We start from the raw sequence: 18,064 nt of genomic DNA, 5'->3' as shown, positions 1-18,064 counted from the left end.
CACCGCAACCTCCACCTCCCAGGTTCAAGCAATTCTCCTACCTCAACCTCCTGAGTAGCTGGGATTACAGGCATGCACCACCACGCCTGGCTAATTTTGTATTTTTAGTAGAGATGGGGTTTCTCCATGTTGAGGCTGGTCTCGAACTCCTGACCTCAGGTGATCTGCCTACCTCGGCCTCCCAAAGTGCTGGGATTACAGGCGTGAGCCACTGCGCCCGGCAGTTAGCTACTATTTGCCAAGTATCTGTCTTGCACCAGGTACTTTATGTGTTTATATAATATTAATATCCACATATATTTATATTAATATAAATATCCACTTATATTTATATTAATATATTAATATAAATATATTATAATATATTATATAATTATTATATATAATATATATTATATATTATATATAATAATTATATAATATATAATATATATTTTATATTATATAAATATAATTATATTAATATAATATTAATATAAATATCCACTTATATTTATATTGATATAATATTAATATAAATACATTGTAAGATATACAATGCATTATATATTATAATCAATATATTTTATATTAATTATATAATGTGTTATATATTATATTTAATTATATATTAATATATAATGTGTTGATTATACTATATAATATATTGTATATATTATAATATATATTGAAGTTCCCATTTTTGTAGGTCAAAATTGATCAAATATTGGTAATTTGATGAACTGGCCATGTTCCTCACTGCTCCTAATAAATATAGAAGTATATATTTACCATATATACCATATATAAATATTTGTATATATTTATTATGTATTATATGTCCTATAATAATGTCATATATTAATATGTCAATATAAATATGTGTTTAATATAATATAAATATTATGTTATACTAATAATGTTATATGAACATATAACGTACCTGGTACAAAAGAAATACTTATTACTATGTAAAACTTATGCATGGCGGCTGGGTGCGGTGGCTCACGCCTGTAAACCCGGCACTTTGGGAGGCCAAGGTGGGCGGATCACGAGGTCAGAAGTTCGAGACCAGCCTGGCTAACATAGGGAAACTCCATATCTACTAAAAATACAAAAAATTAGCTGGGCGTGGTGGTGAATGTCTGTAATCCCAGCTACTTGGGAGGCTGAGGCAGGAGAATCGCTTGAACCTGGGAGGCAGAGGTTGCAGTGAGCCGAAATCATGCCATTGCACTCCAGCCCAGGCAACAGTGCGAGACTCTGTCTCAAAACAAACAAACAAACAAAAACAAAAAACACTTATACATGGCAGAAACTATTCTATGAGTTTTACACATAGGTCATTTCATCCACATATCAGTCATATAAAGTTGGTACTACTATTATCTTTATTTTGCAGATGAAGGAACTGAGAGACAGAGAGTTTAATTAGCGAGAGTCACACTGAAAACAAATGGCAGAGCTAGGATTTGAGACCAGACATGTCTCTTTCTGTCTTCCTAGGAGCCTGGTGAGGTAGATGTGGTCATTTAACAGAGAAGGAAAATAAGTCTAATTAACTTGCCAAAAGTTACATGACCTGTTCACAGCAGAAGCAAAATTCAAACCCAGGTCAAAATTCAATACCATGTTTTTCTTTGGACAGCCTGTTTTTGCATGGCCTGATTTTTGTATGGCTGGTGAGCTGAAAATGGCTCTTACGCTTTTAAAGGATTTTTTTTTTAAAAAAGAATATGCAACACTGATCATATGTGACCCCCCCCACCAAAGCCCAAAATATTTGCTATCTGTCTTTTTAGAGAAAAAGTTTGCCAACCCCTCCGCTATACTGTCTCCTCTCCATATTGGTCTAAAATATTAGGTTGGCACAAAAGTAATTGTGGTTTTTGTCATTGAAAGTGATGGCAAAAATTGCAATTACCTTTGTACCAACCAAATACTTTATGAGGGTCAAATGAAGGTGGGAGTGTATATATATAATTTGGGGCAAGATACTTCCCGTTCACTGGACCTCAGTTTCCCCACTTAGAAGGAGAAGTAAGATCTGCAAGCCTCGCCCCAGTTCTAATCTGCCCCAATGTAAGGTGTTGTTCTGTTGCTGTACTAAAGTAAAGTATTACTTTTTCTATTCCACCTCCCGTGTTATTACTTGTTACCTAACTTATTGCAAGAAATTCAGACATTATTATACTTCAATGTTGGAAAAAACCATAACCCCCAAAATAATCCCTGGAAGCTAAAAAAATGCTTCACCTCTAAAACATCAGCCCTTCTGTGATGTGCTCTGAATGCAGACACCTTCATCTTTGCTTATTCTCCCAGCCTCTCTGCGTTTCAGGTTGTTTATTACCTCAGAAGTGTTTGCTTCTGATCCTCCCAGTCTCCCCTACTCCCCTCCTTCTCTCCCAGTTCTCCATGATTTTTAACACTAGCAAAAGAAAAAAAAAAATCAAAGCAATCTACCAATTTTCTTCCAATTTGTTTCCTAGTGTCAGATGCACACACATTCCCTTCTCGGCATCCATTTCTTCTCTTGAGCATGGCCTCCCACATATTCTAAGAACAAAGGCAGCTCCTTCTAATCTTCTGATCTCCTGTATCCTTCTCTTCCTCTCTCAGTGGTCAAGGCAGCCTTGCCCATTTACAGATTTGCAATCTCTCCCAAAGTCCCCTTCACAACCTCCCTCCACCCAAAAAGAAACCTAATCCAGAACTCTCCCCAGGACACTAAGACCTCACTCTGGTCTTGAGCACTAGCCCAGTGCAAGGGCTGACCAGCAGCCATACCTGTTCCTCACTTGCCCTTGAAGGAAGGCAATGGCACTATGGTGATGTAGATCCAGCCTCCATGGAGTCCACGGGTCTCGTTTGTCTTCATCTTGCTTAAGAGAGGGTAGGCTTCTGCTTCTTCCGACCCTCACCCTCATCTCTGTAGGATGGTTGCAGTGCCTCCCAAGGAGACCCCTGCCTCTAGACCCCTTCCCTTTCCTCGAATCGTTACCCACTCTGCAGTCATAGGAAGTCCATACTTAACTGCCCTTCATGGTCCCCTGTGCCTGCAGAATAGTGCTCCCTGCCTTAGCTGTCCATGAGCCAGCCCCTGCCACTCTCTGAACACATTTTTATTTCCTACCATGCTGTCTCTCATTCCCTATGCCTTTGCTATGCCAAAGTACTTAGAATGTTCTGAGCGTTCCACACAAAAAGATTGCACATTCTTTCCCTCGATGGGATGTCCTTCCTCAACTCTGCTTTCCAGGAAAAGTCTGCATATCCTTCCAGTCCATATTAGGCCATTCTCACATTGCTGTAAAGAAATGCCTGTGGATGGGTAATTTATACAGAAAAGAGGTTTAACTGGTTCACGATTCCATAGGCTGTAAAGAGAGTATGATGCTGGCATCTACTTGGCTTCTGGGGAGGCCTCAGGAAACTTACAATCATGGTGGAAGGTGAAGGGGGAGCAGGCACAACACATAGCCAGAACAGGAGCAAGAGAGGGAGTGGGGAGCATGCCACACACTTTTAAATGACATCTCTCACAAGATGCGAAAACTCACTATCATGAGGACAGAACTAAGGGTATGGTACTAAATCATTTATGATAAATCCACCCCCATGATCCAGTCACCTCCAACCAGGCCCCACCTCCAACATAGGGGATACATTTCAACGTGAAATTTGGGTAGGGACACACATCCACACTATATCACGGTCCATGCAGAATACCTTTCATTTGCCCCTCTAGATCCATACATTACCTTTCCTCATCTGCTCTGTATTCAAGAGGTTGATCTATGGGGATTGAATTGGTGGGTTCTTGAACCTTCTGTTTCTAGTTGGGTTTGGCCAACAGGGAGCCACAGGAGACCAGAGGGAGGGAAAAGAGGAAGGGAGAGAGTATGATATTCCTTTGATACACTGTTTGCAACGTCACTGAACTGGCCATGTTCCTCACTGCTCCTCCTGAGGAAAGCAACTCTGCAGGACAGTTCAGCAGCTATTAAGAGTTGTGAGAACAGTTCAGGAGCTATTAAGTGCCTACTCTCTCTTTTGTGATTCTTCTATATCTGCACCTTTGCATATAATCCCTCCTTGAAATCTGCTATTTCCTGGGAGCTGTCAGACTGTTGGGACCCTGATTGGTACACAGTGTGACCCAGCACAAACCTCAGGGAGCTCTCTGAAGGCACATCTGCTATAGATCCTGTTACATTACCTGCTGCTGGTTTGCTTCCCTGACTTCCCCACCAGACTGTTTCATCTCACCTTGTCTTGTAGATATGCAAGAGGCCTACCCACATTTAGTGAGCAGCTGTTATGTGCTGGGCCGTGGCCTAAGCACCGAAGATTCAGAGATTGATAAATGATAATTCCTGACCTTGCAGATCCCTGACTCTAGTACAGGAGCTGAGACTTGAGCCCCATTTAACACTGTGGCTCTCAAATCCCAGATCCACCACTGACTAGCTGTGTGATCTGGGCAAGTCATCTCTCTGAGCCTCAGTTTCCTCATCTGTAAATGGAAATCAGGGCAGCTACCTCGGAGGATGATTGTGAGGATTAAAGTAGTTAGCATAGTGCCTGGCATACACTAGGTACTCAATAAGTGCCCATTATTATTTTTATCGTAGCAGGTGCTTAGTGTATATTAAATGAATAACTGAATGTATTATCTCATTTGGTCTCCATAGCAACCTGTTCTCTACCCTTCCCCACTATATACAATCCAAGTAGACGTGGAAGGAATTTCTTTCCCCATTTCACAGATGAGGAAATTGGGAATGAATGAATGAATATCTAACCCACCAGCCTGCTCTGCCTCCCACCTTTTCCCAGAGGCCACAGTGAGGCTGTTTGTCCAGGGAACTGTGAGCCCTGGGCCCTAGAGGAGTCATCCTGGCTTTCTGTCTTGACTTTCTGGCTCCAGAGGACTTGTGCCAGTAGCTCACCACAATTTGCTCTGTGCCTAACACAGGCTGGGGTTCAGGTGCTCCTGAAGTTTGTAAACACTGGGGTCTGCCAGGCGCTTCCCCCAAAGCCCCAGCTTCCCAGAACCGGTGGCCCCAGTTCCTGTTCAGCTGCTGCTCTTTCTGTAACTCCTTTGCAAGTACCACTGCCCCTTCTGGTAAGTGCAGGGGCCAGGAGGCAGATTCTACTTTCACATTCACTACCACACCCACAGGAGGGAGATTTCTTAAAGTGGAGGGGAACTTTTCTTTTGCTGTAGGCCCAACCTCAAGCCTCCTCCTTAACACCTCAGTTTTTTCAGGGGATACTTAGTTTCCCACTGAAGCTCAGGAAGGGTAAGTCCCCACAACATCAAAACTTGAATCTGCTCCAGAAACATGGGAGTCCCTGATCCCTGCAGAGACCCTGCCCTCCGCTTGGCACGTTTGATGTATATCCTCGTGTACTCCCTCCAATGCCCCTGCACGGTGGGCATAGCTTCTGAATGGCAGTAGCAGGACTGAGGCTCAGGGCAATGGAATGCCTAGTATTGGAATGTTCGAATAAGAAAAACTACACCTTCAAACTTTAGAAGCAGAGTTGGAAATCACTGCAAAACAAAAGTCCCTAAACAGAATGAGTCTTTGCTGTTTCTGTACCATATGCACAGCCCTGCTACTTTGCTTTCTATGAACTGCATGTCTATTTGTGTCCATATCTGTCTCCCCTAGTTGACTATACCTCCTCAAGGATGGAGAAGATGACTCACCCATATTCCTCTCCCCATCCCAGCACATGGCCTGAGGCAAGAAGGGATGGTTGACCTCAGAAGCTGAAAGCAGACCATCGTGCCTGGTGGTAGGGGGTCAGCATAGGAGAGATGCAGGGCCAGGTCACACAGGGTCCTGTAGGTCATGGTGAGGGATCAGGATTTAATTATAGGTGCAAATGGAAGCCACTGAAGGCTCTTGAGGAGGGCCCTTCCTTCCATGTTGTAGAAAGATAATTCTGGCTCTAGGATGAAGAATAGATTGGAAGGTGACAGAGGAGGAAGCAGGAAGCCCAGTTAGGAGCTATCACAACAGAACAGACAAGAGCCAGGGACGTTTTTTCAGGACTATGGTTCCCAGGCTTCAGCGGGCATCAGGATCACCTGCAGGGCTTGTTAAAGCACAGCTCACTGGCCCCAACCTCAGAGTTTCTGATTCAGTAGGTCTGGGGTGAGGTCTGAGTGTTGAGTTTCTATGAAGGTGAGATGCTGCAGTCCCCAAGAACCACTGCTTGAGAAAAGGAGAGGAAGAAAGCGATAATGTGTGGTCTTGTTCTCAAAGAGCTTTCATCTCTGTGAGCACTACATGAACAGTGCAATTCTAGAGAGCCAGATGGATGTCGATTGTGGGATCCCACGGAAGAACATCTCCCCAGCATGGGTGTGGAGGAGAGGGTCAGAGGAAGTGTATTAGTTCATTCTCACATTGCTATAAAGAAATACTTGAGACTGGGTAATTTATAAAGAAAATGGGTTTAATTGGCTCACCGTTCTGCAGGCTATACAGGAAGCATGGCTGGGGAGGCCTCAGGAAACATTCAATTATGGCAGAAGGTGAAGGAGAAGCAGGCACATCTTCACATGGTGAAGAAGGGAAAAGAGAAAGTGCACGAAGTAGGAGGTGTTACACACTTTCAAACAACAAGATCTTGTGAGAACTCTGTCACAAAACAACACTAGGAGACAGTGTTAAACCATTAGAAACCACCCCCATGATCCAACCATCTCCCACCACGTCTACCTCCAACTCTGGGGATCACAATTCAACATGAGATTTGGGTGGGGCCCACAGCCAAATCATATTGGGAAGCTCCTGGAAGAAGAAACTCTTGAATGAAGTTATACTAGTTAACTGGGACTTAACCAAGGGAGGGAGATCCCTGGAAAGAATGAGAAAAAGAGGATCTTCAAGACAGAGGACACAGCTTGAGCAAAGGCAAGGAGATAAGAAACGGCAAGACATGTTCAAGCAATTGGGGCTGAGAAATCCAAAATGAAGATGGTGTATGTAAAAACTGTGTCATGAATGGCTTTGTATTTCCTTTAGACTGAGAGGTTTGAACTTTATCCTGTGGAGCAGTGGTTTGTAAACATTTTTTAGTGCAGGAAGTTGGTCACAGACCTCTCTGAAAATCTGATCAAAGTTAATACTCACACAAACAGAACTAGGGTATACATTTCAGAGTGTTCACATATTTCCTGAAACCTATCCATGATCTTCAAATAAAGAATCCCTGCAGTTGGCCAGGTGTGGTGGGTCACACCTGTAATCCCAGCACCTTGGGAGGCCAAGGCAGGAGGATTACTTGAAGTCAGGAGTTTGAGACCACCCTGGGCAATATAGCAAGACCCCATCTCTACAAAAAAACAGAAATTTTTTGTAGAGTGTGATGTGGTGGTGGGTGCCTGTAGTCTCAGCTATTCGGGAGGCTGAGGCAGGAGGATTGCTTGATGAGCCCAGGATGTCAAGTCTGCAGAGAGTCATGATTGCACGATTGTATTCAGCCTGGGCAACACCGTGAGACTCTGTTTCAAAAAAGAAAAGACAAGAAAAGAATCCCTGCAGTGAATAATGGGTTTTAAGAGGGGAGGCAGCCTAATTGGATTTTTATTTTAGACGGCTCTCTTGGTGACTATGCAAATAATGGATTTGAGCAGGGGTAGTGGGCACAGAAAAGCTGAGGTCTATTAGTCTGAGTGAGAGATAGTAAGTGGTAACGCAGATGGGGGACCAGGTTAACACCTGTAGGCAAGGGTTAAGTTGGTGAGTGTCATGATCAGACTTACTTTTCAGCAAGGTCACTCTGCTCAATTCAAAAAGCATCAGTTGAGAGCTGAGCTCAGAGGCCTTCTTTGCATGGCTTGAATCTAGGCTGATGGGCAATGCAGGCCAGTCAAGCAAGAATGAACCTTCCCCACCCTCACCCCACATACTAGAATCTGCTGGTCATCAGTCAGTTGGGGCCCAGATATCTCATGCCTGTGAGGGCTGGAAGCCAAGGACGTGAAGGAAGGCAGCACTCTGACAAGCTGGGGAGAGGCCAAAAGGGCAGAGTGGGATGGTTAGTTCCTGGGAGGCAGCCGAGGTGTCATTCCTTCCAAAGCTTTCGCAATAGCCAGAGGAAGCAGACAGAGCTCAGATGATTATCTCCGTTGTACAGATGGGAAACTGAAGGCTAGGGAAGGTAAGGACTTGCCAAAAGATGTGTAAGAAACACCAGGGCAGAACTGGGACTAGAACCCCAAGAACATTTGACTCCTATGTCTGTGTCTTGCTTTAGGCCGGCCCTGGGGCAAATGCTGTCTTGCCCACTTCTGGTAGCTCTAAAATCCTGTAATTCTGTAATTTAAATTACTGAGTCCTAGCAAAAGGCTCTCCACCATTCCTTTGGGTTATTTTATCTGTATCTGCTGTTCTACCCCAAGATCTTATTCTCAACCACCTGTGAAGTTTGGAGCGAGCCATTTGGCCTTTCTGGCTTGAGTTTTCATTTCTAAAACAAGAGAGTTCCTCTAAATGCTCCCAAAATATTTTTCTTCTCTGAGTGGCAGTGGTTCAGCAATGGCTTCTGAGACCTTAAATTCTGCCCCAGCTTTGACATGATTACATGATTCTCAATAGCCCAACTCCTTTTGTATATAGGTACCAGGGAATAATAACAGTAATAATTAATGTCTTTTCTTCCTTCCCCATGGGCCAAGCACTGAACTAAGCACTTTGAAGCTTCAGAACAACTTTACAAGGTAATTGCTACTCTTGCCCCCATTTTACAGACGAGCAAACTAGAAAACACAGAGAGGTTATATTACTTAATGTAAGGCCATCAGCTAACCAGCGTTCATATCCAAGCAACCTGCCTCAGGATTCATGCTCCTTATCCCTAGGAGCTGAGGAGTGAGGGATTAAAAGTGCAGGGAAGGTATGAAAACAGCCAGGTAAGCTCTCTGTGACAAGAGGCTCACTACCCCTCAGTGGCATGTTCTATCATTAACCACTTTTTGCAGGTTGTGCTATGACATGGTACCTCTTACCACCTGCAGGGGGGCACAATTATGAGATGTTTCTAGTGACTTGTGGAAGGAATTGTCAGATTTGGCAAATAAAAGTACAGGACATCTGGTCACATTTGAATTTCAGATCAAGTTTGTGTGTCCCATGCAACATGTGGGACACACTTATTCCAAAAAAGTTTTATCATTTATCTGAAATTCAAATTTAACTGGGTATCCTATATCTTATCTGACAAATCTATTTCCAGTGCAACAGAATAAGGACAAGTGATGGTGATTTCTTTCCCTTTAGAAGACTTGAATGGGTGTGATTACTGCTTTGCTCAACTGGTGCAGAAGGTTGACATGAAAGGCTTGGCTGAATCAGTTTCAAGGGAATGGGGATGACCTCTCTTTGCTCATCTCTACTGGGAAGTCCTTTGAAGCCTCCAAAATCACCACTGAGGGAACCTGGAACAGCCCTCTAAACTGGAGCAGAACTCCCCGGAATGATCTGGAGAAGGCCTTGCTCACTGGCTGGCTGTGTCCTTGGCTTAGTTTCCAATGCCTGGCGCACAACTCAGAAGCTACCTTAAACAATAATCTCCCTCCTTCTCAACTTCACAAAGGATCTCCAGGGTCCTTCTAGGATGTTTGGGTCTCCAAGCACTAATTCCTGCTTCTTTCTGAAACTTAGTAACCTCTTCTGTGATAATCAGAGAAAAAAGAAGAAAAACCCATAGTAGATTTTCAATAGATATAACCCATTCACTCCCCTCAACCAACGCCGCCTTCTCACCATCAGATGTCATAGTAGTCATTCCCTTGGGTTTTCCTGCCGGTGAATATTACAGAGTCCTAGAAGAAGAATAACAAACCTCAAAGGATTGCCTGGTTTTAACAACATATTGTGAATTCCCAAAAAATTTCCCCCAGGAAATCTGTTTTGAAATATACGTGGGGTTACTCCACATCACAGACATCTGTGCTGAAGCTTGCTTTCCTCATGGCTGGCATCCCAGACAGACCCCTTGGCTGGAACAAACCTTCATCTCCTTGTCACAACCTGACCCCAATCCTTCCACCTCCCCCTCTTCCCCACAAAGTCACACCCCCATGCCCTGTGTGGAGTGGTTTCTATCAGCAGAGCATGTTTGAGCTCGCTGGGAAAGTGGCCTCTCACATGATTTTAATCTGCTTTGTCTTCCCTGATTACCAAGATGTCCCAGACCAAACTACATTTAGATGAAATGCATTTGGGTGGGTGTACTCTGCCTGCCTCAGCAGAAATATTGTAGCAGCCACCCAGCACATAGCTGAGACATGCACAAAATGCAGACCAGCATCTGAAAGCAAAGGGAACTTTTTAAGGTGTATTATACTAACATCCATAAATATGCACATTTATAGGCATCCTGATTAGGCCTCAGGCAAAGGCCATAGTATTTTTTTAAAAAGGAAAACTCAGTTAAAAAGGACTGAGAACAGAGCAAAACCAAACTCTTCTTGGGTTTTTTAGCTTTGTGGTGTGGATAGGAACTTCTCCTTCCTCCTTGCCCTTCCTTAAGTACAGTACATTTCACTGTGGGATTGTAAAGGACAGGGTCCCAGCTTTTTTTCTGAATAACTTCTTAATGGAAGCTGCTAAACTGACTTTATCAGCCAGACATGTCCTTGACTTTGTCACCTGGAGCCAGAATATCCTCATCACCATTATCTTCTTCATCCCATGGCTAAGAGTCATTGATCATTTATTTTGTGCCAGAAATTTTGCTACATATTCTGCATGATTTATCCAATTTAATTTCATAGTGATCTTCTATTAGAGGTGTAATTTTTTTTTTTTTGAGATAGAGTCTTGCTCTGTTGCCCAGGCTAGAGTGCAGTAATGGCTCACTGTAGCCTTGAATTCCTGGGCTCAAGCAATCCTCCTGTCTTGGCCTCCCAAAGTGCTCAAATTACAAATGTGAGCCACAGGGGCACCCCAGAGGTATAATTTTTAGTCCTCATTTTAAGAATGAGAAGATTGAGGTTTAACAAGATTAAGTGATATGCCCAGGGTCATATAGCTAATCAAGGGGAAAACTCGTATTCAAATTCCAGACTGTGCAACCCAAGGCTGGCACACTTAACAACAGTGCCTATTGCTCCCCAGGGATTGATAGCAAGGCAATTCTGGTAACTACTGGGCCAGGGAGATTAAAGAGACTCATCCTTTAAGGCTCCCACTCAAAACCTTCCTGTATGAGTAGAGTGGATCCATCCCTCCTGTTTTTACTTCTCTGGTCTAGGAAGTTATTTCTAAGAGTTTGAGCTGTTTTGAGGAGACAAGAGGACATAGTGGGGCGGGGAAAAACCCAAAAACTTTGATGTGAGACAGAGCTAGATTTATAGCATGGCCCAGAATCATATGAGTTATATGAAGTCAGAAAACTAAATCTTAGTTTCCTTACCTCTAAAACAGGCATAATTATATTTGCCTCATAGGATTAATATGATTATTAACTAGAAAAACATAGCCTCCTGCTATACTTCGAATGTTGGCGTGCCCTCCACCCCAAAAATTCATAGGTTGAAACTTAACTCCTAAGGTGATAGTATTAAGATGCAGGGCCTTTGGGAGGTGATAGGGTCATGACGACTCTGCTCTCATCAATGGGATTAATGGCCTCATAGAAAGAGGCTTGTTTTCCACCACCATGTGATGACCCAGTAAGAGGGTGCAATCTATGAAGTAGAGAGCGCTATGAAGCTCCCTATGAATCTATGAAGTGGAGAGCTCTCACCAGACATTGAATTGCTGACACCTTTATAAAGTCCGTGATCTGGGACTTTCCATTTGCTAGAACTGTGAGTAATGAATTTCTATTGTTTATAAATTACCTAGTCTAAGGTATTTTGTTATAGTAGCCAAATGGACTCAGACACCAGCATTCAGGGATCCAGTTTTTTTTTTTTTGAGTACCTATTATATACAGAGACCTTTAAGGCCTTGACAAATGTTCATTCTTATCTTTCAATGACAGGATTTCTAAATTACAGGCTTTATATCCCCAGGACCTAGCACAGAGCCTGGGAGATAATATGTGCTAATTAAATGTAGAGCATTTGATACTTTCATGAATTAATAAATGAATGCAATAAAAGCCCATCCAGTTTATCTTTCTGACCTCATGGACCACCACTCCCCTCCAGCTGCATATGACTAATTTGGTATTTAACATACAAGCCACGTCTTTCCAAATCTCAGCCTCGACGCAGGGCTCATATGATTCTCTGTGTCTTGAATGCCTGCCACACCCACTTTGTTGGCCTGGAAAACTACTTAGGAGTTTTACTTTATGAAAAATGCAGAGTGAGTCTGCTCCTACTCCGTATGTCAGCTCTTCAAGCAGTTGAAGTCAGTCCTCATGACTCCCTTCCTTGTTCTACAAATTAGTGCTGCCTTCCAAGTCGAATTTCCCTCCAATAATTGTTATTGGAAATGGTCTCTGAATCCCATACTATTTTGGACACTCCCTGCTTTTCCAGTTGCCTCCTATGCATTCATTCATTGACTATTTATTGAGCACCTACTAGTTGTCACATGAAACAGATTTTTTCACTAGACTATAAGCTTATGAGGTTTACATTCTGATGAGGGGAGCTGAACAACAAACAAAAATGTACTACATATGTCAGCTGTTGATGTGTCGTGGAGGAAAATTCAGTGGGGAGATGAGGAGGGAAGGAAAGGAGAGGATAGACAATTTATGTAGAGTGTGGTCAGGGGAATGACCACAGTTTGAGCAGGGGGATTAAATGAGGGAGCAAGCCATGTGGCTGTCTGAGGGAAGTGTGTTCCAGGTGAAGAAGAGAAGCAAGGTGCAAGTGCCCTTAGGCAAGAGCACTTTGGAGAGTCTGAGGCAGCACCAGGAGGCAGGAGAAGGAGCAATTGGAGATGAGCTCCAAGACAACTAGAGGCAGATCATGCAGGGCCTTGAGTCCGGTGGAAAGGACATTGCTTTAAATAAGATGGAAATCCAGTTCAGAGTTGATTTAAATCCCCTGAAAACTTCTCTCTGGGGCTCTGCAAAGTTGAGCTTTTAGAGGAACAATGATGGGAGCAGACAAAGCTGTGGGAGAGTGATTGCAATGACTGCAGCAAGAGGTGACGGTGCCAGAACCAAGGTGGCTATGCTGGAAATGTGGAAGATGCACACAAATTCTAGATGCACTTGGAAAGTGGAGTTCATTGCATTTGGTTTTCTGTTTGTATTTTTCCCCAGTTTTATGGAGGTATGTTTGACAAATAAAAATCGTATAAATCTAAGGTGTACACAGTGATGATGTGATGTATGTATTAATATATATCATGAAATGATTATTACAATCAAGGTAATTAACATATCCATCACTTCACGTAGTTACTGTTTGTGTGTGTGTGTGTGGTGAGAATACCTCAGATCTATCCTCTTAGCAAATTTCAAGTATGCAATGCAGTATCATCAACTGTAGTCACTGTGGTATTCATGAGATCCCCAGAACGTATTCATCTTATAACTAAATGTTTGTACCTTTTGACAAATGTCTCCCTATTTCCCTCACGCCCTTCAGGCCTTGGCAGTGATCATTCTTCTCACTACATCTAAGAGGTCAATTTTTTAGATTCCACATATAAGTGAGAACACATAATATCTGTCTTTATGTGTTTGATTCATTTCACTTAGCATATTATCCTCAACATTTATCCATGTTGTCACAAATAGCAGGATTTCCTTCTTTCTATGGCTTAGTAACATCGCATTGTATAAATTTGTATAGCATGTCTTTTTTTAATCCATCATCTATTGACAGACATTAAGGTTGTTTCCGTATCTTGGCTCTTGTGAATAATGCTGGAATGAATGTGGAAGTGCAGATACCTCTTTGAGATAGTGATTTTATTTCCTTTAGATATATACCTAGAATGAGATGGCTGCATCATATGCTAATTCTATTTTTAATTTTTTGAGGAACCTCTATACTCTTTTCTATAGTGGCTATACCAATTTGCATTCCCATCAACAATATACAAGGGTTCCCTTTTCTCCACAATCTTGCCAACAACACTTGTTAACTCTTGTCTTTTTTTATAATTGCCATCCTAACAAATTCCAGTTAATGTCCCATTGTGGTTTTGATTTGTATTTCCCTTATAATTAGTTATGTTGAGCACCTTTATACACCTGTTGTACATCTGTAGATCTTCTTTGGAAAAATCTCTATTAGGTTTTTGTTGGTTTTTTTTATCAGGTTATTTGTATTTTTGCTATTGAGTTGTATGAGTTCCCACTGCATTTGTTGGAGAATTAGATGTGGGGCATGAGAGAATCTGCCCCTGTTTTCTTATTTGTGAACTAAGGATGATATTTTCACTGCAGGGTTGTTAACCTTCATGGTAGATGCTCAAGGAATGTGAATTTTCTCCTTCAACTGTCCAGTGCTATGATCAGCAGTGGTCGTAAGACCATTGATTGTGGCAAATAATTCGAGGAATGGATAGGGGAGGGGAGATGATGAATTTCAGGTACCTGTGGGATCCCCAAGGGAGAGGTCCCTTTGGATAGGGGTAGCTGACAATTTTGGATATAAGCTTCAGATATAGGTTTAGGATAAAAGTTCAGGAGACGTCAAATAAATAGTTTGAGAGCTGAAACTATTGGGACAAGTTAAGAACAGTCTTTTTCCATTTCCATAGCAATATTGTGTAATGTTTATAGAACTAATATATATCTTAAAGAGGGAATCATTGGATCACTAAAAGAAGTATGCAAAATCTGGTATCACATGAAATGAAGGGATAATTATTCCAGAACTTTAGGCTAAGGGAAGTCAGGGAAGAGTGTGCATCTCCTGAAAATGTAGTATAAAGAAAAGCTGAGCAGCTAACATATATATTAGTCATCAAGGAAAGGAAGACAGTTTAGGCAACACAGGTATAAATCAAAGAGGCATGAGTTCTTATCCAGGACTTTCCCCCTACGCTACTAACTACTTGCTTTTTTTCTTTTTTCTTTTTTGAGATGGAGTCTCGCTCTTGTCGCCCAGGCTGGAGTGCAATGGTGAGATCTTGGCTCACTGCAAGCTCCGCCTCCCAGGTTCAAGCGATTCTCCTGCCTCAGCCTCCCGAGTAGCTAAGATTACAGGCACCCACCACCACACCCGACTAATTTTTGCATTTTTAGTTGAAACAGGGTTTCACCATGTTGTCCAGGCTGGTCTTGAACTTCTGACCTCGTGATCCACCTGCTTCGGCGTCCCAAAGTGCTGGGATTACAGGAGTAAGCTGCCATGCCTGGCCCACTACTTGCTTTTTAAAAGATTGGCCATGTAATTTTCACTGGTTTGAGTCAGGGGATAGTACATCCATTTGGTCAGTGCTTCTGCATCTATGGACGTACTGGTGGTGTTTAGATGCATGGTCTGTGGTCCCTGAATGATGATACAAACATGGTAAATTCCACACATAGTGTTTGCATGTTGGGAAGGCTAGTCACTTCTCTTGCTGGCTTATTGGTGTTTTCTCCATCATCCCAGGTGCCTGGGGATCAGCAGAATGGGACTCTGTTCTGGCTCTCTCATCACCCAATGGCATCTGCAAGCAGAGATGATTGCTCTGTTCTCCATGCTTGCATAACCATGTATGGTTCTGGACCAACACCATATGAAGGTCACTGATACATTGTGATTCCAGAAGAAGGGGACCAGGTGAAACAGAGGGGTTGGGATTGCCTGGAAGACTTGTCTCGCTCTGTCACCCAGGCTGGAGTGTGGTGGTGACATCTTGGCTCACTGCAACCTCTGCCTCCGGGTTCAAGCAATTCTCATGCCTCAGCCTCCCAAGTAGCTGGGATTACAGGTGTGCACCACCACACCTAGCTAAGTTTTGTATTTTTAGTAGAGACAGGGTTTCACCAGGTTGGCCAAGCTGATCTTGAACTCCTGGCCTCAACTGAGCTGCTCACCTTGGCCTCCCAAAGTGCTGGGATTACAGGTGTGAGACACCATACCTGGCCCCTTCCTTATATTACAAGTCTTTTTTTTTTTTTTTTTTTTTTTGAGACAGAGTCTTACTGTGTCGCCCAGGCTGGAGTGCAGTGGCACAATCTTGGCTCACTGCAACCTCCGCCTCTTAGGTTCAAGCAATTCTTCTGCCTCAGCCTCCTGAGTAGCTGGGATTACAGGTGCACACCACCATGCCTGGCTGATTTTTGTGTATTCTTTAGTAGAAACAGGGTTTCACCATGTTGGCCAGGCTGGTCTCAAGCTCCTGACCTTGTGGGATTTTTTTTTTTTTTGGTATGGGGAATAAGAAATTCAGGAGGAATATGATAATGTCTTCAAAGATTTTAAGGGCAACTATTTGGAGGAGAAATTGACCTGTTCCTCATTCACACTGACTAACATATTTATATTATATATCACATCTGTATTTATATAGATTTATATTTATAGATATAATACATAAAAATAAAATATTTCTAATAATTTTTGTTACCCAACAATCAAAAGAGCTCCCCTTGGAGAAGTCTCCATATTCAGGATGACTGACTGAACCCTTTGAGCTTAGGCTCAAGTGTGGGATCTGAGATTGAACTGGATAAACAACACCCTCTCGCCTTCTCGCTCCTTCTCAATTTCTCCCCTTCCCCATATCTATGGTCCTCTGTTTCTATCTTGGAGGAACAAAACTACATGAACTTTTTCTAAGTGGGAGTCAGAACTTAGGCCTCTTTCCTGTCAAGAGGCAAACTGTCACTTTGACCCAAGATATTCATAACTCTTCCAGGTGATTAATAGGGGAGTCAAATATCTCTCATTCCTCGAGGCTACTGAGGACCATGTGGTGACTGACCTCATCTGGGCACCGAATGGCACCCCGGCCCCCAGCGATTCCTTCTCTTTGGTGCGGCCCCAGGTCATGGCCGATCAATTTTGCTTTGAGGGGAGGAATGTGAGCACGTCCTCCGCGAAGGCCCAGAACAGACGCTATGTTGTTCTTTCATGACTGCCTTTGCTAAGTGGCTTGTGAACTGAGCCCTTGACAGTGAAGCCAGGCATGACTGGGGAAACTAACTACACAGATGAGCAGCCCCCCTAAGACAAAGGGGGAAAAGTCCAGTGGGTAGGTTGGAGAGGGTGAGCTGTGTCTCAGGAGCTATGGAACAATGCAGCAGTTTCAAACCCAGAGAACCTAACAGGACTTATAGTCTTCTGACCACTTCATTTTACAGGTTAAGAAACTAATGGTCAGAGAGACAGTGACTGCCTTCAAGTCATGCACGAAATTAGCCGTTAGGGGTGAAATTAGGATGAGGCAAATGAGGCACCTACATGACTCTAAGAGGACCCCTCCTTAAACTCTGCACCCAAGACCCCTCACTCAGCTTACCTAATCTTGGCCCTAAGTCCTACACCACCCAGGCTGCGTAACACTTGCCAGTCAAAGACCTTCCTAGAGATTATTATGATATAAATGTTTGTGTCCTCCCCTGGTTAAAATTCATATGTTGAACTCCTAATCCCCAATGTGATGGTATTAGCAGATGGGGCCTTTTAGAAGTGATTAGGTCACAAGGACAGAGTCTTCATAAATGAGATTAGTATCTTTATATTAAAAAAAAAGGACCAAGGGACTATCTTTGCCTCTTCTGCCATGTGAGGATGTATAGAAGGTGCCATCTATGAGGAAAGGGCTCTCACCAGACACTGAATCTGCCAGCACCTTGATTTTAGGTTTCCCGGCTTCCAAAACTGAGAGAAATAAATATTTGTTGTTTATAAGCCTCTCAGTTTATGATATTTTGTCATAGCAGCCCAAACCGACTAAGATAGAGTTTCTATCCATAGAAGGTGCCATGTTTTCTGGCAGATGCACCTGTCCTCATTGGAGCAAAGAAGGGCCTCTGCCTACAAGCAGCCAATGGAAGTCTGGCAGGCAGCTGGGGAGAGCTTGTGTGGTCCACTGCCCCACTGGAGCCTGGGTGATTTCACTGGATGATCAGAGTCTCTCTTGGAAATTTGAACCGTCAATAGGGGAGAGTTTGTAACAGCTGAGAGATGAAGTCAAAG

General features: G+C 43.0%; 1 long non-coding RNA gene across 1 annotated transcript in view, besides 2 other annotated features; it reads right to left on the bottom strand.

The window, feature by feature from the left end:
• Positions 1 to 18,064, bottom strand: part of LINC01358 (long intergenic non-protein coding RNA 1358) — a 67,772-nt gene that overhangs the window by 36,247 nt on the left and 13,461 nt on the right. The window lies entirely within an intron of this gene.
• Positions 5,372 to 5,441: an enhancer, noted in NCBI's record as "active region_1106". NCBI's record gives its function as "activates an Ori minimal core promoter by ATAC-STARR-seq in GM12878 lymphoblastoid cells {active_cell/tissue: GM12878}" and the evidence as "EXISTENCE:reporter gene assay evidence [ECO:0000049][PMID:35858748]".
• Positions 6,297 to 6,346: an enhancer, noted in NCBI's record as "active region_1105". NCBI's record gives its function as "activates an Ori minimal core promoter by ATAC-STARR-seq in GM12878 lymphoblastoid cells {active_cell/tissue: GM12878}" and the evidence as "EXISTENCE:reporter gene assay evidence [ECO:0000049][PMID:35858748]".

This window comes from Homo sapiens, chromosome 1 (assembly GCF_000001405.40).
Source record: "Homo sapiens chromosome 1, GRCh38.p14 Primary Assembly".
Lineage (NCBI taxonomy): Eukaryota > Metazoa > Chordata > Mammalia > Primates > Hominidae > Homo > Homo sapiens.
The sequence above is the reverse complement of the archived record's forward strand: the minus strand, read 5'-3'. Positions and strand labels throughout refer to the sequence as shown.